The following is a 25106-nucleotide window of genomic DNA, read 5'->3' on the forward strand; positions in this document are numbered from 1 at the left end:
ATTCTTTTGATTTGGGGTGGAGAGTTCTATAAATGTCTATTAGGTCCACTTGGTGCAGAGCTGAGTTCAGTTCCTGGATATCCTTGTTAACTTTATGTCTCGTTGATCTGTCTAATGTTGACAGTGGGGTGTTAAAGTCTCCCATTGTTATTGTGTGGGAGTCTAAGTCTCTTTGTAGGTCTCTAAGGACTTGCTTTATGAATCTGGGTGCTCCTGCATTGGGTGCATATATATTTAGGATAGTTAGCTCTTCTCATTGAATTGATCCCTTTACCATTATGTAATGGCCTTCTTTATCTCTTTTGATCTTTGTTGGTTTAAAGTCTGTTTTATCAGAGACTAGGATTGCAACCCCTGCTTTTTTTTGTTTTCCATTTGCTTGGTAGATCTTCCTCCATCCCTTTATTTTGAGCCTATGTGTGTCTCTGCATGTGAGATGGTTCTCCTTAATACAGCACACTGATGGGTCTTGACTCTTTATCCAATTTGCCAGTTTGTGTCTTTTAATTGGAGCATTTAGCCCATTTACATTTAAGGTTAATATAGTTATATGTGAATTTGATCCTGTCATTATGATGTTAGCTGGTTATTTTGCTCGTTAATTGATGCAGTTTCTTCCTAGCATCTATGGTCTTTACAATTGGCATGTTTTTGTGGTGGCTGGTACCAGTTGTTCCTTTCTATGTTTAGTGCTTCCTTCAGGAGCTCTTGTAAGGCAGGCCTGGTGGTGACAAAATCTCTCAGCATTTGCTTGTCTGTAAAGGATTTTATTTCTCTTTCACTTATGAAACTTAGTTTGGCTGGATATGAAATTCTGGTTTGAAAATTCTTTTCTTTAAGAATGTTGAATATTGGCCCCCACTCTCTTCTGGCTTGTAGAGTTTCTGCTGAGAGATCCCCTGTTAGTCTGATGGGCTTCCCTTTGTAGGTAACCCAGTCTTTCTCTCTGGCTGCCCTGAACAGTGTTTCCTTCATTTCACCTTTGGTGAATCTGACAGTTATGTGTCTTGGAGTTGCTTTACTCGAGGAGTATCTTTATGGTGTTCTCTGTGTTTCCTGAATTTGAATGTTGGCCTGCCTTGCTAGGTTGGGGAAGTTCTCCTGGATAATATCCTAAAGAGTGTTTTCCAACTTGGTTCCATTCTCCCCGTCACTTTCAGGTACACCAATCAAATGTAGGTTTGGTCTTTTCACATAGTCTCATATTTCTTGGAGGCTTTGTTCATTTCTTTTTACTCTTTTTTCTCTAAACTTCTCACTTCATTTCATTCATTTGATCTTCAATCACTGATACCCTTTCTTCCAGTTGATCGAATCGGCTACTGAAGCTTGTGCATGCATCACATAGTTCTCATGCCATGGTTTTCAGCTCCATCAAGTCATTTAAGGTCTTCTCTATGCTGTGTTTTCTAGTTAGCCATTTGTCTAATCTTTTTTCAAGGTTTTTAGCTTCTTTGCAATGGGTTCGAACATCCTCCTTTAGCTCGGAGAAGTTTGTTATTACCGATAGTCTGAAGCCTTCTTCACTCAACTCGTCAAAGTCATTCTCCATCCATCTTTGTTCTGTTGCTGGCGAGGAGCTGTGTTCCTTTGGAGGAGAAGAGGCCCTCTGATTTTTAGAATTTTCAGCTTTTCTGCTTTGGTTTCTCCCCATCTTTGTGGTTTTATCTACCTTTGGTCTTTGATGATGGTGACATACAGATGGGTTTTTGGTGTGGATGTCCTTTCTGTTTGTTAGTTTTCCTTCTAACAGTCAGGACCCTCAGCTGCAGGTCTGTTGGAGTTTGCCGGAGGTCCACTCCAGACCCTGTTTGCCTGGTTATCACCAGCGGAGGCTCAGCTGGAAATGCAGAAATCACCTGTCTTCTGCATCGCTCACGCTGGGAGCTGTAGACTGGAGCTGTTCCTATTCAGCCATCTTGGAACCTCCTCCTTGTTTTGTTTTTTGAGACACAGTCTCACTTACTCTGTTGCCCAGGCTGGAGTGCAGTGGCCTGATATCTGCTCAGTGCAACCTCTGCCTCCTGGGTTTAAGTGATTCTCCTGCCTTAGTCTCCTGAGTAGCTGGGATTACAGGCGCATGCCACCATGCCCAGCTAATTTTTGTATTATTTGTGGAGATGGGGTTTCACCATATTGGCCAGGCTGGTCTCAAACTCCTGACCTCAGGTGATCCGGCTGCCTTGGCATCCCAAAGTTCTGGGATTACAGGTGTGAGCCATCGCACCCAGCGAAGAGCTTGAGTTTTCGTTTTTGTTTTTTTTTTTTTTTTTTAGATGGAGTCTCACTCTTGTTGTGCAGGCTGGACTGCAGAGGCACAATCTTGGCTCACTGCAGCCTCCACCTCCCGTGTTCAAGCGATTCTCCTGTCTCAGCCTCCCAAGTAGCTGGGATTATAGGCTTATGCCACCACAGCTGGCTAATTTTTTGTGTTTTTAGTAGAGACGGGGTTTCACCCTGTTGGTCAGGCTGGTCTCAGACTCCTGACCTCAGGTGATCCACCCACCTCCACCTTCCAAAGTGCTGGAATTACAGGCATGAGCCATTGCACCCATCCCCAAGAGCTTGGGCTTTTAAGGAACCAAAAGGCAACTGATGTGACTAAAGCAAGGGCTTTCAAATGCTAGACCGGATGTAGAAGATGATAATAAGGGAGAACTGTGGCTGTTTCCAAGGGGTCTTGCTAGATCAGCTGAGTTGATGGCAAGGCCATTTATGGAGGTACAGAATTCTGGGAAAGATAAGGTTTGGGTAGGGAGAAGGAAGAATTCCCTTTGGGGGAGCATTTTTCTGAGGTGTTTTCATATTTGTTCTCACCACTTCACACTTGTTCTGTAATACGTCCAACACTAAGGTTTTATCAGGTCATTTCCTCCTCTTCGTCAGATTTCAGCTTATAAGTCTCCTTCACCAGATTAGTAAGTTTCCATCTAATCCTGTTTTCCTTCTTCTTCATAGGATGCATGCTCCTGGCCTGATACTTCTCATTCCAGTATCAAAAGCTATGAACCAGGAAACTTCTTCCTTAATACTTTTGATTCAATATATCTTTCCACTCATAACCTTATCTCCTTTTACCTTCAGAAGCATGACCTTAAGAAAAGTTCTATTGAAGAAGGTGAAAATAAAAAGTTTATTATTTCTTACTTGGTTATATTGTTTGTTCACAATGTGAGAGGCATGTAGGGGGTGTCATTGTGGGTTTTAGGGTGGCTCTTCACAAGGCATTCCAAAACAATAGCACACTTCACTGCTGAGCTGTATCAGTTCCTTAGCAGGTAGCCACAAGGAGGAAAGAGAGGGCACGGTGGATCTTCTTGGTGATACAAACATGGTAATAACTTTTAGGATCTCTTTTTCTTACAGGTTTATTAACTTAAACAAAAATGGACAGGGCAGCTGCTTCAGCCACAGTTAAGTGCTCCATTGTCTCTACACAGTATTAGGAGCACCTTTAAACCTTGAACAAATTCCACAGGCTCCACCTCTCACCTTCTATTCCACTCCTCTGCCCCGCTCTCCTTCCCCAGTTGAATCTGTCAGAGGTGGCCAGCATCACCTGGTCCTGACCAAGATGGTGCTGATCCAAAACTTCAAGAGGAATGGGGAAGAGGGAAGTCAGGTACTCAGAGATGACTGGAAGTGGGTTTATGTTCCATGTCCTCATCCAGGTTTTCATGGAGACTTCTCTGACATCAGCCTTGTGCTCCTCTGCTAGTTGTCTTATATTGTGTAACCTAATAGAGGAAGCAAGCTCTCATGCCCAAAAGGTGCAAGTCACTTCGCTGTCTGGTTCTGCCTCCCTGAAACTGGTGAATGTTTCATGCCACTCATTACATCTCTTGTGATAACTGTTTCAAACTTAAAAACCAAACAAAAAAACTTTTTAAAATTAGAGGAGTAGTATGGAGCACATAATTAGATTTGCCTACCTCTCAGGAGACCTAAAATTCCACTTCTCAAAAAAAACTCATTTATTTTCCTGTCTTTACTTCCAGTGCTCCACGTAATTGCCGATCCTTCCTGCATCTTCCGGGGCTTGGGCATATGACAGTAAGATGCTCAACAAGTTCATTTTCTACTTCTATGCATAATACATTTTTGGTGAATCTTTCCAGGTCTTAATTCTTTTCATTTTCTGTGTGACCTAACTGAGGAAACCATCCTGGCTTTCTTTTTTTTTGGAGACGGAGTCTTGCTCAGTTCACCAGGCTGGAGTGCGGTGGCGTGATCTCGGCTCACTGCAAGCTCCACCTCCTGGGTTCACGCCATTCTCGTGCCTCAGCCTCCCGAGTACATCCTGGCTTTTTAGGCTGCTCCAAGAAGTTCTGTTCTATCCTTTACCTATAGGGATTCTAGTCCCTACCTATAAGGATTCCAGGGTGTCAGTTCTGACCTTGTCCCTCTTTTGTCCTCTGCTGAGCCCAGCAAGCCATCATCTTAATCATACAAAACCAAAATACCTAAAGGGGAAGGTCAGACCTGCTACCTAGCCATTTAGTTTGGAAAATGCAAACATTTATTTTCTTTGTTCCGATAGAAAATACCTCCTACTTCAGTGACTTCAAACTGGCATAAGCTAATAAATGAAGCTAGCTCAGAAGTGTATACTTTCTGCTTCATGGGCCTGAAGAGTCACCACAATATAGACATACTAGAGCAGTGGCAGAGTCCAGCCTGCAAGTGTCTGGGTTTAGAAACTAACAGATATTTCAAGTTCTTTATAGACTAGGCATTAAAAAGCTACTAGAACAGAGGGTGTAGCATTTATGGAGATGAGGCCGCACACTAAATCCTTCTACAGAATCATCTGGTACAAGCCCTGTAAGACACATTTTTCTAAACTGGCATTCCCCAGTGCCAACTGAATTTTGTATGGGCCACAAAATATTAAGTTCTGCTTTTCCAAACCATCTAACAGCTGGATAGATCATGAAAGGTAGTTTGGGAATTGTTTCCTGTTTTATATTTCAAGTACCTGACTTCTGTTTGTTTCAGCCTTGCATAAGTTTCTCTCCATTATTTCTGGCTTTTCAGTGTCTGGGAAATCTGTGGCATTTTTTTTTTATTAGAAAACATAGTATTGGGTCTTGAATTTGTTCTCTTAAAAGAAAATTACTCTGTAAGCATGGGCCAAGCGTCAGGAACTCCTCAGAATCAGATTCTGCTCCCAAACATTTTTGCAGAAGCTTCATCTTGTACCATTTATGAACTGCTTATAGCAGATGTCTTGGTGGGAAGAGGGTGGATACTGGATGTATCAGGCCTATCAGCTGCTGTGCAGCCTGGGACAGGTTTTCTTCAGATTTCTGTGACCCCTGGTGAAAAAGGAGGAACTGTGTCAGGCCCCAGCTATATCTTAAAGATGTAGGAGACTCCTAAGTCTGAGGATTCCTCAGTCCTTTAGGACACTTCCTTCTTGCAGTAAACTTGAGTCTTTCTTACATCCTTGCCTTGTGACCCTTTTATTTCCAGACCTGAAAAAAAATACAGAGAAACTTATTTTTTAAACTCTGAGTGGTCTTGAATTCAACTATTTCTATAACAGTCTATGGCTCCTTAATTCCAGAACCTCAGAAAACAGTTGTGAAATTATTTGATGATTCTTTCAGTAAGAAGGTAGCTGCTGCTTAGTGACAATTTGGATATTTGAGAAAAAATTTTTAAAAATAAAGTACCTATCTATCTCCATAGTTAGAATTGCCCAACACCTGATTTTGGTATAGAAACTGCTGTTACTTTGCCCCTTGTTTCCTGCTATGTGAGTTCCTGAGCATCTTCAACATCTCTCCATCACTTTTTCTCCCACACTTTTCAGGCCTTGGAGTACCTTTTCAAGTTCATTGTACAGTCACGGATCCTGTACTCACGAGCCACTTGTGGAATGGAAGAGGAACAATTCAGATCCAGTATCCAAGAACTTTTCCAGTCCATCCGGTTTGTGCTCAGTCTGGACAGCCGAAACTCAGAAACACTCCTTTTTACTCAGGTTCGCACACTGCAGGGAAGCTTTGATGCTGGGTTCCTCTTTCTCAGTGGGTGGTTTCTTTGTCCTCTGGTTTTCAGAGATGAAGAAGCCCTGCCAGGATCATGTGTGTTGGGTAAGGGATTATTTACAAGGAAATACCTGATACAACAAAATGCTGCTTTTACTGCAAATCTGGCTGTGCCTCAGCTGCCAGATGTAAAACAGCTCAGTGGCTTTATGTTGGAGAAGAAGCACAAATTTGTTCTGTGAACAGTCTTTAGACCAAGTTTATTTAGCTACCATACTACTTAGTTTTTTATGAACACCTTATTCATAGGAGATATTGAGAATGTATGGGGAATTTTATTTCCAGATTAATCATTGTATTAATGAAAATTGAGCACAGTGGCTCACACCTGTAATCCTAGCACTTTGGGAGGCCAAGGTGGGCGGATTGCTTGAGCTCAGGAGTTCAAGACCAGCCTGGGCAACATGATGAAACCCCATCTCTACTAAAAATACAAAAAAATTAGCTGGGTGTGCTAGCATGCACCTGTAGTCCCAGCTACTCAGGAGGCTGAGGCAGGAGAATTGCTTGAACCCGGGAGGCAGAGGTTGCAGTGAGCCAAGATCGCACCACTGCACTCCAGCCTGGGCAACAGACTGAGACTCTGTCTCCAAAAAGAAAAAGAAAAAAAAAGAAAATTTAGATTAGCTTTTATCCATTCCAGAAGTTGAATGAAATAATTTGAAAAACAGTAGGAGTAACTAGGAATCTTTGGCTAAGAATTAAGATTAAATTAGGATCAGAGGGCTGGCAAGATGGCCAAATAGGAACAGCTCCGGACTGCAGCTCCCAGCGAGATCAACACAAAAGGCAGGTGATTTCTGCATTTCCAACTGAGGTACCCGGCTCATCTCATTGGGACTGGCTAGACAGTGGGTGCACCCATGGAGGGCAAGCAGAAGGAGGGTGGGGCGTCGCCTCACCTTGGAAGTACAAGGGGTTGGGGAACTCCCTCCCCTACCCAAGGGAAGCTGGGAGAGACTGCCTTGAGGAACAGTGCATTCCGGCCCAGATACTACGCTTTTCCCATGGTCTTTGCAACCTGCAGACCAGGAGATTCCCTCAGGTGCCTACACCACCAGGGCCCTGGGTTTCAAACAGAAAACTGGGCCACTGTTTGGGCAGACACTGAGCTAGCTGCAGGAGTTTTTCTCATACCCCAGTGGAGCCTGGAATGTCAGCGAGACAGAACCGTTCACTCCCCTGGAAAGGGGGCTGAAGCCAGGGAGACAAGCGGTCTAGTTCAGTGAATCCCACCCCCACGGAGCCCAGCAAGTTAAGATCCACTGGCTTGAAATTCTCACTGCCAGCACAGCAGTCTGATGTCGATCTGGGACACTCAAGCTTGGTCAGGGGAGGAGCATCCACCATTACAGAGGCTTGAGTAGGCAGTTTTCCCCTCACAGTGTAAAAAAAAGCTGACAGGAACTTTGGACAAGGCAGAGCCCACCACAGTGCTGCCAAGCCACTGTAGCCAGACTGCCTCTCTAGATTCCTCCTCTGTGGGCAGGGCATCTCTGAAAGAAAGACAGCAGGCCCAGTCAGGGGCTTCTAGATCCAACTCCCATCTCCCTGGGATAGAACACCTCGGGGAAGGGGCAGCTGTGGGCACAGCTTCAGCAGACTTAAATGTTCCTGCCTGCCGGCTCTGAAGGGAATGGGAGATCTCCCAGCACAGTGCTCGAGCTCTGCTAAGGGACAGACTGTCTCCTTAAGTGGATCCCTTACCCCCGTGCCTCCTGACTGGGAGACATCTCCCAGTAGGGGATGACAGACGCCTCATACGGGAGAGCTCTGGCTGGCATCTGGTGGGTGCCCCTCTGGGACGAAGCTTCCAGAGGAAGGAATAGGCAGCAATCTTTGCTGTTCTGCAGCCTCTGCTGGTGATACCCAGGCAAACAGGGTCTGAAGTGGACCTCCAGCAAACCCCAGCAGACCTCTAACAGAGGGGCCTGACTGTTAGAAGAAAAACTAACAAACAGAAAGGAATAGCATCAACATCAACAAAAAGGACATCCACACAGAAACCCTATCCGAAGGTCAACAACATCAAACACCAAAGGTAGATAAATCCAGGAAGACAAAGAAAAACCAGTGCAAAAAGGCTGAAAATTCCAAAAAACCAGAACGCCTCTTCTCCTCCAGAGGATCACAACTCCTAGCCAGCAAGGTAACAAACCTGGACAGAGAATGAGTTTGATGAATTGACAGAAGTAGGCTTCAGAAGGTGGGTAATAACAAACTCCTCCAAGCTAAAGGAGCATGTTCTAACCCAATGCAAGGAAGCTAAGAACCTCGAAAAAAGGTTAGAGGAATTGCTAACTACAATAACCAGTTTAGAGAAGAACATAAATGACCTGATGGAGCTGAAAAACACAGCACAAGAACTTTGTGAAGCATACAGAAGTATCAATAGCCAAACTGATCAAGTGGAAGAAAGGATATCAGAGATTGAAGATCAACTTACTGAAATAAGTCGTGAAGACAAGATTAGAGAAAAAAGAATGAAAAGGAACAAACAAAGCCTCCAAGAAATATGGGACTATGTGAAAAGACCAAACCTATGTTTGATTGGTGTACCTGAAAGTGACAGGGAGAATGGAACCAAGTTGGAAAACACTCTTCAGGATATTATCCAGGAGAACTTCCTCAACCTAGCAAGACAGGCCAACATTCAAATTCAGGAAATACAGAGAACACCACAAAGATACTCCTCGAGAAGAGCAGCCCCAAGACACATAATCGTCAGAATCACCAAGATTGAAATGAAGGAAAATATGTTAAAGGCAGCCAGAGAGAAAGGTCAGGTTACCCACAAAGAGAAGCCCATCAGACTAAGAGCAGATTTCTCTGCAGAAACCCTACAAACCAGAAGAGAGTGGGGGCCAATATTCAACATTCTTAAAGAAAAGAATTTTCAACCCAGAATTTCATATCCAGCCACACTAAGCTTCATAAGTGAAGGAGAAATAAAATCTTTTACAGACAAGCAAATGCTGAGAGATTTTGTCACCACCAGGCCTGCCTTACAAGAGCTCCTGAAGGAAGCACTAAATATGGAAAGGAAAAACCGGTACCAGCCACTGCAAAAACATACCAAATTATAAGGATCATCGACACTATGAAGAAACTGCATCAACTAACGGGCAAAATAACCAGCTAGCATCATAATGACAGGATGAAATTCACACATAACTATATTAACCTTAAATGTAAATGGGCTAAATGCCCCAATTAAAAGACACAGACTGGCAAATTGGATAAAGAGTCAAGACCCATCAGTGTGTTGTATTCAGGAGACCCATCTCACATGCAAAGACACACATAGGCTCAAAATACAGGGATGGAGGACTATTTACCAAGCAAATGGAAAACCAAAAAAAGCATGGGTTGCAATCCTAGTATCTGATAAAACAGACTTTAAACCAACAAAGATCATAAAAGTCAAGGATATTACATAATGGTAAAGGGATCAATGCAACAAGAAGTGCTAATTATCCAAAATATATATGCACCCATTAGAGGAGCACCCAGGTTCATAGAGCAAGTTCTTAGAGTCCAATAAAGAGACTTAGACTCCCACAGAATAATAGTGGGAGACTTTAACATCCCACTCTCAGTATTAGATCAGTGAGACAGAAAATTGACAAGGATATTCAGAACTTGAAATCAGCTCTGGACCGAGTAGACCTGATAGACATCTGCAGAACTCTCCTCCCCAAATCAACAGAATATACATTCTTCTCAGCACCACATTGCACATATTCTAAAACTGACCACATAATTGGAAGTAAAACACTCTTCGGCAAATGCAGAAGAACAGAAATCATAACAGTCTCTCAGACCACAGTACAATCAAATTAGAACTCAGGATTAAGAAACTCACTCAAAACCACACAACTACATGGAAACTGAACAACCTGCTCCTGAATGACTACTGGGTACATAACGAAATTAAGGCAGAGGTTCTTTGAAACCAATGAGAACAAAGACACAACATACCAGAACCTCTGGGACACAGCTAAAGCAGTGTTTAGAGAGAAATTTATAGCACTAAATGCCCACAGGAGAAAGCGGGAAATATCTAAAATTGACACCCAAACATCACAGTTAAAAGAACTAGAGAAGCAAGAGCATACAAATTCAAAAGCTAACAGAAGACAAGAAATAACTAGCCGGGCTTGGTGGCTCACACCTGTAATCCCAGCACTTTGGGAGGCTGAGGCGGGCAGATCATGAGGTCAGGAGATCAAGACCATCCTGGCCAACACGGTGAAACCCCGTCTCTACTAAAAATACAAAAAATTAGCCGGGCATGGTGGCGGTTACGTGTAGTCCCAGCTACTAGGGAGGCTGAGGCAGGAGAATGGCCTGAACCTGGGAGGCGGGGCTTGCAGTGAGCCAAGATCGCGCCACCACACTCCAGCCTGGGTGACAGAGCGAGACTCAGTCTCAAAAAATAAATAAATAAATAAATAAATAAATAACTTAGATCAGAACAGAGACACAAAGAATCCTTGAAAAAATTAATTAATCTGGAAGCTGGTTTTTTGAAAAGATTAACAAAATAGATAGACTGCTAGCCAGACTAATGAAGAAAAGAGAGAAGAATCAAATAGACACAACAAAAAATGTGATAAAGGGGCAATCACCACTGATCCCACAGAAATAGAAACTACCATCAGAGAATACTATAAACACCTCTGTGCAAATAAACTAGAAACTCTGGAAGAAATTTATAAATTCCTGGACACATGCGCCATCCCAAGACTAAACCAGGAAGAAGTTGAACCCCTGAATAGACCAATAATAAGATCTGAAATTGAGGTAGAAATTAGCAGCGTACAACCAAAAAAATCCCAGGACCAGACGGATTCACAGCCAAATTCTACCAGAGGTACAAAGAAGAGGTGATACCATTCCTTCTGAAACTATTCCAAACAATAGAAAAAGAGGGACTCCTCCCGAACTCATTTTATGAATCCAGCATCATCCTGATACCAAACCTGGCAGGGACACAACAAAAACAGAAAATTTCAGGCCACTATCCCTGATGAACATTGATGCGAAAATCCTCAATAAAATACTGGCAAACCGAATCCAGCAGCACATCAAAAAGCTTATCCACCACAATCAAGTCAGCTTCATCCCTGGGATGTAAGGCTGGTTCAACCTACACAAAAAAATAAATGTAATCCATCACATAAACAGAACCAATGACAAAAACTACTTTATTATCTCAATAGATGCAGAAAAGGCCTTCAATAAAATTCAACATCACTTCATGCTAAAAACTCTCAATAAACTAGGTATTGATGGGACGTATCTCAAAGTAATAAGAGCTATTTATGACAAACCCACAGCCAATATACTGAATGGGTAAAAGCTGGAAATGTTCCCTTTGAAAACCAGCACAAGACAAGGATGCCCTCTCTCACACTCCTATTCAACATAGTATTGGAAGTTCTGGCCAGGGCAGTCAGGCAAGAGAAAAAAATAAAGGGCATTCAAATAGGAAGAGAGGAAGTGAAATTGTCTCTGTTTACAGATGACATGATTATATATTTAGAAAACCCCATTGTCTCAGCCCCAAATCTCCTTAAGCTGATAAGCAACTTCAGCAAAGTCTCAGGATACAAAAAGCATTCCTATACACCAATAATAGACAAACAGAGAGCCAAATCATGAGTGAACGCCCCTTTACAATTGCTACAAAGATAATAAAATACCTAGGAATACAACTTAGAAGGGATATGAAGGAACTCTTGAAGGAGAACTACAAACCACTGCTCAAGGAAATAAGAGAGGACACAGACAAATGGAAAAACATCCCATGCTCATGGATAGGAAGAATCAATATCGTGAAAATGGCCATACTGCCCAAAGTAATTTATAGAGTCAATGCCATCCCCATCAAGCTACCACTGACTTTCTTCACAGAATTAGAAAAAACTACTTTAAAGTTCATATGGAACCAAAAAAGAGCCCGCATTGCCAAGTCAATCCTAAGCCAAAGGAACAAAGCTGGAGGCATTATACTACCTGACTTCAAACTATACTACAAGGCTACAGTAACCAAAACAGTATGGTACTGGTACCAAAACAGATATATAGACGAATGGAACAGAACAGAGGCCTCAGAAATAACACCACACATCTACAATCATCTGATCTTTGACAAACCTGACAAAAGAAGCAATGGGGAAAGGATTCCCTATTTAATAAATGGTGTTGGCAAACTGGCTAGCCATATGCAGAAAATTGAAACTGGACCCCTTCCTTACACCTTATACAAAAATTAACTCAAGATGTATTAAAGACTTAAACATAAGACCTAAAACCATAACAACCCTACAAGAAAATCTAGGCAATACCATTCAGGACATAGGCATAGGCAAAGATTTCATGACTAAAACACCAAAAGCAGTGGCATCAAAAGCCAAAATTGACAAATGGAATCTGATTAAACTAAAGAGCTTCTGCACAGCAAAAGAAGCTATCATCAGAGTGAACAGGCAAGCTATAGAATAGGAGAAAATTTTTGCCATCTATCCATCTGACAAACGGCTAATATCCAAAATCTACAAAGAACTTAAACAAATTTACAAGAAAAAACCATCAAAAAGTGGGCGAAGGATATGAACAGACACTTCTCAAAAGAAGACATTTATGCAGCCAACCAACATATGAAAAAAAGCTCATCATCACTGGTCATTAGAGAAATGCAAATCAAAACCACAATGAGATACCATCTCACACTAGTTAGAATGGCGATCATTAAAAAGTTAGGATACAACAGATGCTGGAGAGGATGTGGAGAAATAGGAATGCTTTTACACTGTTGGTGGAAGTGTAAATTAGTTCAACCATTGTGGAAGACAGTGTGGTGATTCCTCAAGGATCTAGAACTAGAAATACATGTGACCCAGCGATCCCATTTCTGGCTATAAACCCAAGGGATTATAAATCATTCTACTATAAAGACACATGCGCACGTATGGTTTTTTTCTTTCTTTTTTTTTTTTTTTTGAGATGGAGTTTCACTCTTGTTGCCCAAGCTGGAGTGCAATGGAGCGATCCCAGCTCACTGCGACCTCCACCTCCCGTGTTCAAGTGATTCTCCTGCCTCAGCCTCCTGACTAGCTGGGATTACAGGCGCATGCCACCATGTTCAGCTAATTTTTTCATTTTTTATTAGAAATGGGGTTTCATCCTGTTTGCCAGGCTAGTCTCGAACTCCTGACCTCAGGTGATCCACCTGCCCCAGCCTCCCAAAGTGCTGGGATTACACGCATGAGCCACCGCGCCCAGCCACACACATACGTTTATTGCAGCACTGTTGACAATAGCAAAGATTTGGAACCAACCCAAATGCCCATCAGTCATAGACTAGATAAAGAAAATGTGGCACATATACACCATGGAATACTATGCAGCCATAAAAAAGGATGAGTTTATGTCCTTTGCAGGGACATGGATGAAGCTGGAAACCATCATTCTCAGTCAACTAACACAGGAACAGAAAACCAAACACCACATGTTCTCATTCATAAGTGGGAGGTAAACAATGAGAACACATGGACACAGGGAGGGGAACATTACACACCTGGGCCTGTTGGGGGTCGGGGGACTAGGGGAGGGATAGCATTAGGAGAAATACCTAATGTAGATGATGGGTTGATGGGTGCAGCACACCACCATGGCACGTGTATACTTATGTAACAAACCTGCACATTCTGCACATGTATCCCAGAGCTTAAAGTATAATAAATAATTAAAACTTCAAAAAAAGATTAGATTAGATTCAATATTAGAAATATCAGTATGGGAAGAAAATTTGCTTTCTTATATTAAAACTACCTGACCAATCACCTGAGCCCAAGAAGTTAAGGCTACAGTGAGCTGTGATTGCACCACTGCACTCCAGCCTGGGCAACAGAGTGAAACTCTGTCTCAAAAACAAACAAAACTGCCTGGCCAGCTAATCTGTTACCTTTCCACACAGCCTTACCCTAGAACAAATCAAGAATTCATTACCCCAGTCAAAAGGGAGATATTTTTCCTTACAAATGAATGTCAGAATTTTTATGTAATAGTGTATAGTTCTTCAACTTTTTGAAGCTAAATATTACACCAAAACCTGTCAGCAAAGATCAGACAGCCTCTCTCATGTCCAGTCATTCAGTCACTGCCAGGTATATTGTTAGCCCAAGTATATATTTAAACTCTGCCTCATTTAAGATTAAAATAGTCTACTTTTTTGTTTTCCGCTTGCCTCTGTGTTGCCTCTTGATACCAGTTGCCTATAGGTTTCTCAGCCCAGAGGACAGGTGATCAACTGGGAGTACCTTAAGGCTTCCTTGACTCTGTAAGGGAGTGGACTCTATAAGGGAGTCTATAAGGAACTCTATAAGGGAGTACCTGAAGGCTTCCAGGTGCTTCTGTAAGAAAGACACCTGTGATCTCCCCTTCTAAGTACCTTAAGCTGCTCATCTTCCTTTTTGATTCCCCTCCCACAGCCAAAATATGGAGAGATTAGAGGTAGCTAGCAAAGCAATGCAGATATGCTTTCTGGGAACTTTGTAACACAATAATGCCCTGTACTGAGTGGCACACTCCTACTACATCAAGATAAATAGCTTAGATCTGGTCTCGGCTAAGACCTGTGTGAGAATCAGACCTTCTTCTTTGGTGCAAGGCTCATGTTTCCTGAGTTTCACAACTCTCTCTCTCTCTCTCTCTCACTGTCTCTCTCTCTCTCTCTCTATATATATATATTTATTTATACGTATAATAATATACATATAATAATATACATATATATGCATATATATACATAATATATATATGTATATTATTCAGTTAGACTTTATATCTTTGATTATGACCACTAGAAGATGTCAGGGTGTGAGAGTCCTTCTGTCCTGGTGTCTAAGTACAGGATATTTTACCATTTAAGAGAGCAAATGAGTTACTGTTTGTTATTGATTATAAAGCACCTACTTTACCACTGCTTTGTCTTTTATATCTAAGCTGCCAATGATATGTTTTGTTCTGATTCTAATTACTGCAAAACAATCTCCTTGATATTCCAGGGAGTTATAAATCTGCAGATAGAATTCATATAAGTTCTCCAATTGGGCCTGGCCTGAATAAAGACCACAGCACAAGCCTGTTTTCCATGGCATAAATTTTCACTCACTCTAAGCCAGTGTCTGTTGCCTGATGGAGCAGTCAAGAAAACAGCCTTCCCTCCCCAGCCTGCCATTTGGGAAGGGTGCATTCTCACCTTTTTGTCTCAAGATGGCACTCCATTTCTCTTTGTAAATCCTGAGTTAATGGCATAAGGGGACTGAGAAGTGAAAAGTCTTCATGCTGCTTCCACTTAGACAAGAGAAAATAATAAGAACCAGCATGTATCAAAGGCCTATTGTGTTCCAGGCACTCTACTAGAAACTTTATGTAAAAATTTCCCTCATACCAGTATCAAGACATAAGTAATAGCATCATCCCCATTTTATAGATGGGGAAACAGAGAATTAGGCAGTAACTTGCCAAAGTTTGTGTGTCAGGTAAGCGGTAAAGCTTGGATTTGAACTCGTGTCTAATTCCAAAACCCATTCTCTTTTTCCTATAGTGCTCTGCCTCCCAAAGGCTGTGGAACTGTTCTATTATCAGATTGTTCTCAAGAAACTACCTTATGGTCTGCCAGAGCTTACATCCTAGAAGAAAAGCCTAACATGCACACTCCCACTCCCCTTGCTTGGGTGTTTAGGTGGCTGAACTCTAAGCCCACGTCAACAGTCCTCAAGAGTTTATGGCTAACTAAATACACACATTTCCCATCCTCTTGAATTTACTCTTGAGACTACCAGGCATCACTTATGAAGAAAATAATTTATGAAGTCTTCATATTTCATGGTTGCAAATGAGAATCTCTATTCTGGGGAAATGGTACAGCTCTCAGAACTGGATCACTGGCTGCAGGGCTGTGAGCAGAGTTCAGCTGGTGCTGCTTGAAGGAACTCAGCTCTCTCTGCCATACTTTCTTGAGTTTGGAACCAAAATTGGAAAGTTAAGAACTTGATCATAGAGACAAACAAAAATCTAAATCCATTTTATGAACAAAAACAACTGTGGATCTTAAGCCACATTGAGCAGATTTTTCTTTATACCCCATTCTCTTGCCAGCAAATGCTATATGCAAGTTATGAAAGCCTCCAATTGCCTGGATCCCAGTAAATTATCTTGTTTTGGTTTCCTTTTTGGTTTTTCTTGCTCCATGCCTGAGTGCTGTAGTCAGTGGCCAGGGAGGAGCCCACCGAAGGCAGAGATGCTACAGTGCCTTCTCAGCCTCTCACCACCTTGTATCATTGTCTGAGCATGAAAGATAGACACACACCCTAACTCTGTGCTAACCACAGCTTCATTTGCTTCTGCAGGCTGCACTCCTCAATTCTTTCCCAACCATCTTTGATGAGCTTCTGCAAATGTTCACCGTGCAAGAGGTGGCAGAGTTTGTGAGAGGGACACTGGGGAGCATGCCCAGCACTGTGCACATTGGGCAGTCAATGGACGTGGTCAAGCTGCAGTCCATTGCCAGGACAGTGGATAGCCGCCTGTTTTCTTTCTCAGGTAAATCAAGTTGGGATGAGAGTCCTCCTTCCTTCCAGGGGTGTCCTCCTTCCTTCCAGGGGTGATAGCAAAGTGATAATCAAAGGATCAGTTTCCTCAACGATTATGCAAGAAACCAGTAACCCTTAAGATACAGAATTTTTTGATAAACTATAATAGAGAATGCAGCCAAGACCTAGGCCTACTGCCTTACTCACAGTTTATTCCTAGGAATCCACACATAGGGGCATGTCACTGGGGTGGTGCTGAGTCCATTCAGGCTACTGTAACAGAATACCATAGACTGGGTGGCATGTAAACAGCAAACTTTCTCATAGTTCTGGAGGTTAGGAAGTCTAAGATCAAAGCACCAGTAGATTCAATGTCTGGTGAGGCCCACTTCCTGGTTCATAGACAGCTGTCTTCTCTCTGTGTTCTCACATAGCAGAAGGGGCAAGGCAGCTCTCTGGGGTCTTTTTTTTTAAAAGGTCGCTAATCTTGTTCATGAGGGCCCTGCCTCCAGGCCCACAGCTTCCAAGAACAGAGCCTGCTATACCCTCAGGAAAGGAAGGAGAGGAAAAGAGAAGGGACTATCTCAAGGAAATAAGGATAAGCCAAGAAAATAAAAGAGGCCCTACAGATCACTTGAGGTCAGGAGTTCAAGACTAGCCTGGCAAACAGGGTGAAACCCTATCTCTACTGAAAATACAAAAAATTAGCTAGGCATGGTGGCAGGCACCTGTAATCCCAGCTACTCAGGAGTCTGAGGCAGGAGAATTGCTCGAACCCAGGAGGCGGAGGTGGCAGTAAGCCAAGATCACGCCATTGTACTCAAGCCTGAGCAACAGAGCGAGACTGTCTCAGGAAAAAAAAAAAAAAAAAAAGGCCCTGAAAGGGGCCCTGAGGACCCTGTGCTTTCTTGTTTCCTTGCCATACCATTCGATACCTTTCCAGTCTTTGGAGAACCAACAAGGATTAGAGAGAGAAATGGACAGGGAGCTCTTTATGCTCCCCAAGGGGTCAGGACAATCTAATATACTAGCAGCCTAGTCTGTCTTTCACAAAGAACTTCTGGTTTTATTCCTGAAGACACATCATATGTGATCAAGTTCTGCCTTGCAGGGACAACCAAATGCTCAATGGCCATATATTAAGATCAATATGAGCCTGATTCTTTAAGAATAATATCACTGTGCTAGGATAAACTTCTGAGGCACAGAAATAAATCTGAAACACCAGCAAAACAATTATTAGAATTTTTATAATTTTTGGTGGTTAATTTTTTAGGTTTGACTTTTTTTTTTTTTTGAGACGGAGTCTCGCTCTGTTGCCCAGGCTAGAGTCCAGTGGCATGATCTCAGCTCACCGCAGCCTCCGCCTCCCAGGTTGAAATGATTCTCCTGCCTCAGCCTCCCAAGTAGTTGGGACTACAGGCATGCACCACCATGCCTGGCTAATTTTTTTTTTTTTTTTTGTATTTTTAGTAGAGACGGGGTTTCACCATATTGGCCAGGCTGGTCTCGAATTCCTGACCTCATGATCCACCCGCCTCAGCCTCCCAAAGTGCTGGGATTACAGGTGTGAGACACCGCGCCCGGCCAGGTTTGACTTTTAATGTGTAAGAACAAAAATTTCTCAGCCCACTGCTACACACATTTGTAATACTAAATAGATGTTCCCTTTGACTTAGCTCTGCCAGCGTATGATATTGCTAGTAGTAGTAAAGCTGCCACCAAGAAAGTCATCTTTTTTCCACCAGGAACTGTTTATGCTGGTAAACAGTTCTCTCTTCTCCAGCTCCTATACTGAAGATTTTATTAATGGTTTGGGGCACACTGTCACTGAAGGCCACTGTACACACTTGAGCTTTGTGCACTGCTTAAAGAAAATGCTTTTGGCCGGGCACGGTGGCTCACGCCTGTAATCCCAGCACTTTGGGAGGCCAAGGTGTGTGGATCATGACATCAGGAGATCGAGACATCCTGGCTAACATGGTGAAACCCTGTCTCTACTAAAAATACAAAATTTAGCCAGGCATGGTGGTGGGCGCCTGTAGTCCCAGCTACTCAGGAAGCTGAGGCAGGAGAATGGCGTGAACCCAGGAGGCAGAATTTGCAGTGAGCCGAGATCACGCCACCGCACTCCAGCCTGGGCGACAGAGTGAGACTCTGTCTCAAAAAAAAAAAAAAAAGAAAGAAAATGCTTTCAAAATATATGGGAAGGGGAACAGCAGACTGCTCTCACTGACATACTTTATTTCTAATATCTCTGCATGTACTTGCTGCTTCACACAAACACTTCAGAAAAATTTTCTTAATATTTATGTGGCCCTGGACTATGTAATTGGATTTTAGATGACAAACAGCACCAAAATTTCATTTGCATCTCACTTTCATTGAATGCCTGAGTTGCAGCATCTTCCCTGAAGCAAAAGGTTCTTTACCAGTGATGTCCTTTAACCAGCACTGGTATTCTCAAAGTATAAGTTTGGTCTCTTCTTCAGCAGGTTCTAGTAACTAACCACTGTTTTTTTCTGTAAGCAGCTATTGGTTGTTACAAAAACTAAGTATGTTGGTATTTTCATCTACATAGTGCAGTATCAACTTTTTTTATTCAAGCAGCCTTTTAAATCTAGACTAGCTAGTATTCTATTCTGTTTGAACATATTCTAAGCATTTGACAAGGCAGTGCCCAAATCTCTTATATGTCATGTACTTTGTCTTTGACTGAAAAAGATTTGCTGTCTGAATTTCATATGGAACTCTTAACAAAGGACAGATATGAACGATAAATCTAAAATGCCATGGCTTGTTTGTGTTACTGATAATCTGACTAAATCATGCTAGCCAGATATGATGGGACCTGCAGAGTCACACAATCACTGACCACGTAGGAATACAGGGTGCCAGAAACGCATTCACACTTGTATTTCACATGTCTCCTAACCTTCCTTGTGAAGTAAATGTATTATAGAAGAGGCCCTTACACCCCATTCTACAGATGAGGAAAATAAAGCTCGTGAGAGGAGTCAACTTGCCTGAGGTCTCAGAACGGGTTAATAAGGGAGCTTGAAGTAGGACAGCCTTCCTGAATTTAGGATTGTAAATATAGTCAGCTCCTGATGAAAGTGCTATTCGGTAACACTGGGAGAAATCATTTGAAGTGTTCAGTAGGATTGGTGATAAATGTTGGCTAATTATCAAAGTCTTGTGACAAGACAAAGGTCATGCTTCAATTGTGTTCATTGCTGTATACACACTGAGCAGCAATCTAACAAGCCTGTGGGGGAAAGGGAGCAGGCCTGTTGGCTGTGGCAAGGTAAACACTCACAGGGGTGGAAGTGTCAGACTACCTATCTAGCCAGGGCATAAAGAGGGACAATCTATAATCCATTTCAAGCCTGTGAGTTCAGTCAGCGTAGTTCATACTAAGTATACCATTTAAATGGAATTTTCACTGTAAACTGTGCTTCTAATTTGGAGTCTAATCATTAAAGAGATTTCATTTGGGACCAGGTGTGGTGGCTCACACCTGTAATCTTAGCATTTGGGGAGGACAAGGAGGGAGGATCGCTTGAGCCCAGGAGTTCAAGACTAGCTGGGCAGCATAGTGAGACCTCATCTCTACAAAAAATTAAAAAATTATCCGAGTGTGGTGCCATACACCTGTGGTCCCATATGCATGGGAGGCTGAGGAAGGAGGATTGCTCTAGCAATCCTAGAAAGTTGAAGCTGCAGGGAGCCATGATTATGCCCCTGCATTCCAGCCTGGGTGACAGAATGAGACCCTGTTTCCAAAAAAAGATACTTCATTTAGAAGCAGACTCCTAACATTCATCCTGCACAAAATGTCATGGATGCTTGGTATTGAAATGAGAACAAAGGAAAGATGGAAGAATAATGTCATGTGATGGCTTATAATCTCCAGGCAGTGAGCTTTCAGGCCCTTGTAAGGTAAGGAGATTACCTTCACTTTTGCTCTAGTCTGAACCCCACCTGCTTTGAGAATAGCTAAGTCCCACAATGCCACTGGCTTCCTGCAGTAGCTAGTTCTCCTCTAAAGTTTTCTTCACCTTTGTATTTTCTCTCCCAGAATCCCGCCGCATCCTGCTTCCTGTGGTTCTCCATCACATTCACCTTCACCTGAGGCAGCAGAAAGAGCTGCTAATTTGCTCAGGGATTCTTGGCAGCATCTTCTCCATCGTCAAGACCAGCTCTCTGGTAGTGGCCCCACACCCACTCCACCCTGTTCAGCTCTTCCCTAGTCTTGTGTTACTTTAGCCAGAGGCAGACCAACAAAGATCGCTTTGTACACTTTTCAGTCACAGATGCTTTCATCAGTGACAGGAAGGTGCCCAAGTGAATGGAGCCCTGTGTGTTCCCAGCAGGTTTGTCAGTACAACACATTCTTGCTATTTTTAAAGGTTGCACTACCATAAATCTACCCAGAAATATAGTTATCTGTAGTACCACAAAGCCCAATTCTGTGTCATGCTGTTTCCATCAATAGGTTTTAATTCTGGATTCTTGGGAGTTTTCTGAGAATATTCAGGCATGAGCACAGGGAGGCAGACCCAGACTTGAGAGGTAGCTTGCTTATTCAGGCTCTTCTGTTAGCTTCCTGACAGCTTGATTCCACCCATATGGCGTTCCTATACTGTGCCAAATGAGGTCAGGGCATACGAGAGGTTAATGTTGCCCACCAGAGCTCTGAGCCTCAGAGGATGGTAGAATTGTGCTTTAGGGGTCGGGTTTCAACTGATATTGCTTTTACCCATTTTCTTTCCTCTCTATTTTTTCTTTTTAAAAGAAATCAGTGGTAAGAGGGGATGAACTGAGGTAGGGAAAGAGAGAAGGAAAGATATGAATTAGGCACGGGTGAGGGTAGGAATTTATTTTAATGATACTTATTTCATGTACTTTTGATAATAGAAGAAAGGCATATTACTTATAGAAAATTCAGAAACTATAGAAAAGCATAAGGAAAGAAATGTAGAACAAAAATGGATTTTTAAATTATACCATTTTATTAGGTTGCTAGAGAATAGAATTTCACATGCATTTAAAATGAAGGGCAGTTGCCAGGTGATAAGAATATACAAGGATAGGCTATCCACATGGAGTGGGAGAGGCACCTTAAAAAAAGAGTATATTTTGTTCGAGCAGGGGACAGGGACTCAATAGGATACTCTGATGTTCAAACTTAAAGTGCCATCTGGTGACAGGGGTCTAGCTTGGCAGAGAGTGACTATGATGGTGATAATGGCCCTATTATTTGATCTTGGCTCCAGGTAAGACTTGGCAGCTCTTCTTCCCACCAGGCCTCAGAGAAGCCACACCAAGCACATAAGATCTACTCATAGCCCAAGGTTGTATTGAGGGGGTGGACAGCTTATTGCTAAAGGAAGGAGAGAAATTGAAGCAAAAAAAGAGGAGGAATGGAACACAAGTGGGAACCAGTAAAAACTTGGAGGTGACGGTTTGGTTGTGTTTGTGGGGCTAGAGTCAGTGTAATTAGTTGCTTATAACTACCCAAAGATACATCACTGGTAAGTGTTATGATCAGTTCGACAGATAGGAAAGATGACTTTGGTCCCAAGAGCTGCTCAAATTCTTCATGTGGAATGGGGCAGAGTATAGTTAAAATGGATGGATGGGTAGAGGGACAATGAAACTGAAGCTCAATGAGAGCAGAGATATTATCTCTCGTTCACCTCTATATATTCAGGTTCTCAAACAGTGACTGGCACATGGTAAATGTTTAGTGAATGATAAATCGATGGATGGGTGAAAGATAGACACCAGGACCAGTAGTAGTATAAACATCTTAGACGAGGGGCAACAGGAATCTCTTTGTGAGATAATTAAAATCATGCTACAGAATTTGAGATGAATGTGAGAAGTCTATAATAGGATAATAGACTCTTCCTAAATTAGGAAGTGGCCCTTAGTGAGGAGACATGCTCCATTGTTTTTGTGAGGTGGCCAGAGAAAGATGCACTGAGGCTGGAGTCCTTCAAATGGACCCTGTAACACGAGCAAGAGAGCTGAGGAGCTAGAAGTGGACCCAGGCATATCTAGGCAGCAGTCCCGGCTGGCAAAAATTGAGGGCACCCAAGGGGAAGACCCTGAGGAGAAAACAGCGTGCTTAGAAAGATGAGCTACTTCTGTGCATTAGTGCTATGCACTAGTGAAGGTGCAGCTGCCACACCCTGTAGTGTGAATTTGTCACCATTTCTCAAACTTTATCATTCCAAAAGTGTCAGCAGAGTTTTGCCTTCTCCTGACTATTCTAGGGAAATCAAAGAAAACATTTAACTCAAGATCTTTGCTTCTGCCCTGTATATCAAAATTAATGTATCTGCTTGAGATTCAAAGTTGCAGGTGGTGTTGAGTTAGGGTAAGGCCCCAGCCACCATGCCTGGGCAGCAGTGGCAGTTGTGCCTCACCTCCTGTCAAAGCCATTGTCCTGGGTGCCTTGACACTGCATGTTGGTGAGACTGAGAGCTTGGTGTTGGGAATCCAGAAGACTACTGCTGATGTGGCTGACCTAGTAAGTGCTGCCAGCTGTACTTCAGCCTGGCTTGCTGCTAATGGTGTGCTCTCTTGCTGCTCGCTCCAGGAGGCAGATGTCATGGAGGAAGTAGAGATGATGGTGGAGAGCCTCCTGGACGTGCTCTTGCAGACTCTGCTCACCATCATGAGCAAATCGCACGCTCAGGAGGCGGTAAGAGGGCAGCGGTGCCCGCAGTGCACAGCCGAGATCACTGTTAGTAACTAACATCCAGGTTTTCTTGCCTTCTTTTCTAACCCGGGGCTTCTCCACAACACTCCCCCTCCATCTTACCATCCCACCACCTTCATCTCAGCCTTCCCTCCTGCATGGTTGTCAGCATGCTGCCCTCTTCCCTTCTTGAGTCTGACTCTCCTCTCTACTCTGAAAGCTCTAGGTTCACATTCCCAGGACTCTTCTTTAGGGCAGATCTGGGGAATGTTTCTTGTCCTGTTTTCCTGCATACTTTGAGCCAAGTCATTTTCTATATTGTAGAATGAAGCTGGGATGTATGTAAGATGTAGTAAGAGGTTGAAGGTGAAAAACAGACTATTTCTTCTAGGAACCCCCTCATACAGGTTCTCCTAAATGATGTACAGGACAGAATAATTTTCTCAGAATTGGCTTCTATCTACAAATTAGTTGCTTTTGTCCATTATGTTTGTATCTAAATTTTTAGCATTTGGAAAAATATGATGAGGTAAATTTCACTGGCATTAGTGAATAACGATTTTTCTGTGATCTAATTAGAAGAGAAACAAACTGGGAAGGCTTCTCAGGAGGGGCAGAGAGACAATACCTTGGGCCCCTCATGCACCCCAACTCCAGAGTAGACTTACTTCTCAGCCCTGAGGTGGGGATGTGATAAACAGTTTTCGTGGAATCTTTCCATTGGCAGATGGGAGATTACAGTGATCTCTCTGAAGAAAACCCTCTGGAGCAAGCCAAGCTACAGCGTGCTAGGGAGAGCAGGGAGCACTCAGGGAGCAGGTATGTGTTCTGGAGCACTGGGCTTGGAAAGAGTGTCTGCTCCTTTAGGAGCCTCTGTTGAAGGCACTCTCACTGTAAGTAAAAAACATATATATATATATATATGTACCCTGGCATTTCCTGGTAACCCAGCCTTCTAACCAACACTTACACAGTGCTTGCTGTGGGCCAGACCCTGCTTTAAGCACTTGTCCAATATTAGCTCATTTAGCAATACTAAGGAAGTGATTCATTTTATGTAGATTATAATGAGGATGATAATAACTATAATTTATTCAGTACCTTTTTACATAATGGACTTTATTCTTAATGCTTTATGTACATTAACCCATCTGACCCTCATGACGAATTACCTATAGCTTATTATGCCCATTTTTCAGATAAAAATGAGGTTCATGAACATATATATTTTGCACACATGTATTTTTAATAATTTCAGGCCAGGCGTGATGGCTCATGCCTGTAATCCCAACACTTTGGGAGGCCGAGGCAGATGGATCATCTGAGGTCAGGAGTTCGAGACTAGCCTGGCCAGCATGGCGAAACCCTGTCTACTAAAAATACAAAAAAAAAATTAGCCGGGCATGGTGGTGGGCGCCTGTAATCCCAGCTATTCGGGAGGCTGAGGCAGGAGAATCGCTTATACCTAGGAGGTGGAGGTTGCAGTGAGCCAAGATCATGCCATTGCGCTCCAGACTGGGTGATAAGAGCAAAACTCCATCCCAAAAAACAACAATAATAATAATTTCAGAGACCTAGAAAGGGTTTGAGAGACTAAAACCTGTTGTCACTTTCTCATGAGTTTATAAACATTTGAAAATTGCCCAAGTGAAGTAAATGTTCTCCCTCCCTTTTAAGGAGGCAACTAAGAGGAGGCCATGCTTGACTGCCTCCTGCCAAAAGTTGCTGTAAGAT

General features: G+C 42.7%; 1 protein-coding gene across 28 annotated transcripts in view; it reads left to right on the plus strand.

Moving 5' to 3' along the window:
- DOCK3 (dedicator of cytokinesis 3) overlaps window positions 1-25106 on the plus strand; it is a 709272-nt gene that overhangs the window by 579411 nt on the left and 104755 nt on the right. For 19 of the 28 annotated variants that reach the window (XM_005264914.4, NM_004947.5, XM_006713010.4 and 16 more), the window contains 4 exons: window positions 5819-5989; window positions 16478-16670; window positions 20742-20869; window positions 23271-23417. In XM_005264914.4, the coding sequence (XP_005264971.1) occupies window positions 5819-5989; window positions 16478-16670; window positions 20742-20869; window positions 23271-23417 (639 nt within the window). Of the gene's footprint in view, window positions 1-5818; window positions 5990-16477; window positions 16671-20741; window positions 20870-21974; window positions 22198-23270; window positions 23418-24099; window positions 24192-25106 lie in introns of those variants that run through there. The other 9 variants (XM_005264917.4, XM_047447595.1, XM_047447596.1 and 6 more) reach the window with 5 other exon arrangements.

Source organism: Homo sapiens, chromosome 3 (assembly GCF_000001405.40).
Source record: "Homo sapiens chromosome 3, GRCh38.p14 Primary Assembly".
Taxonomy (NCBI): Eukaryota; Metazoa; Chordata; class Mammalia; order Primates; family Hominidae; genus Homo; species Homo sapiens.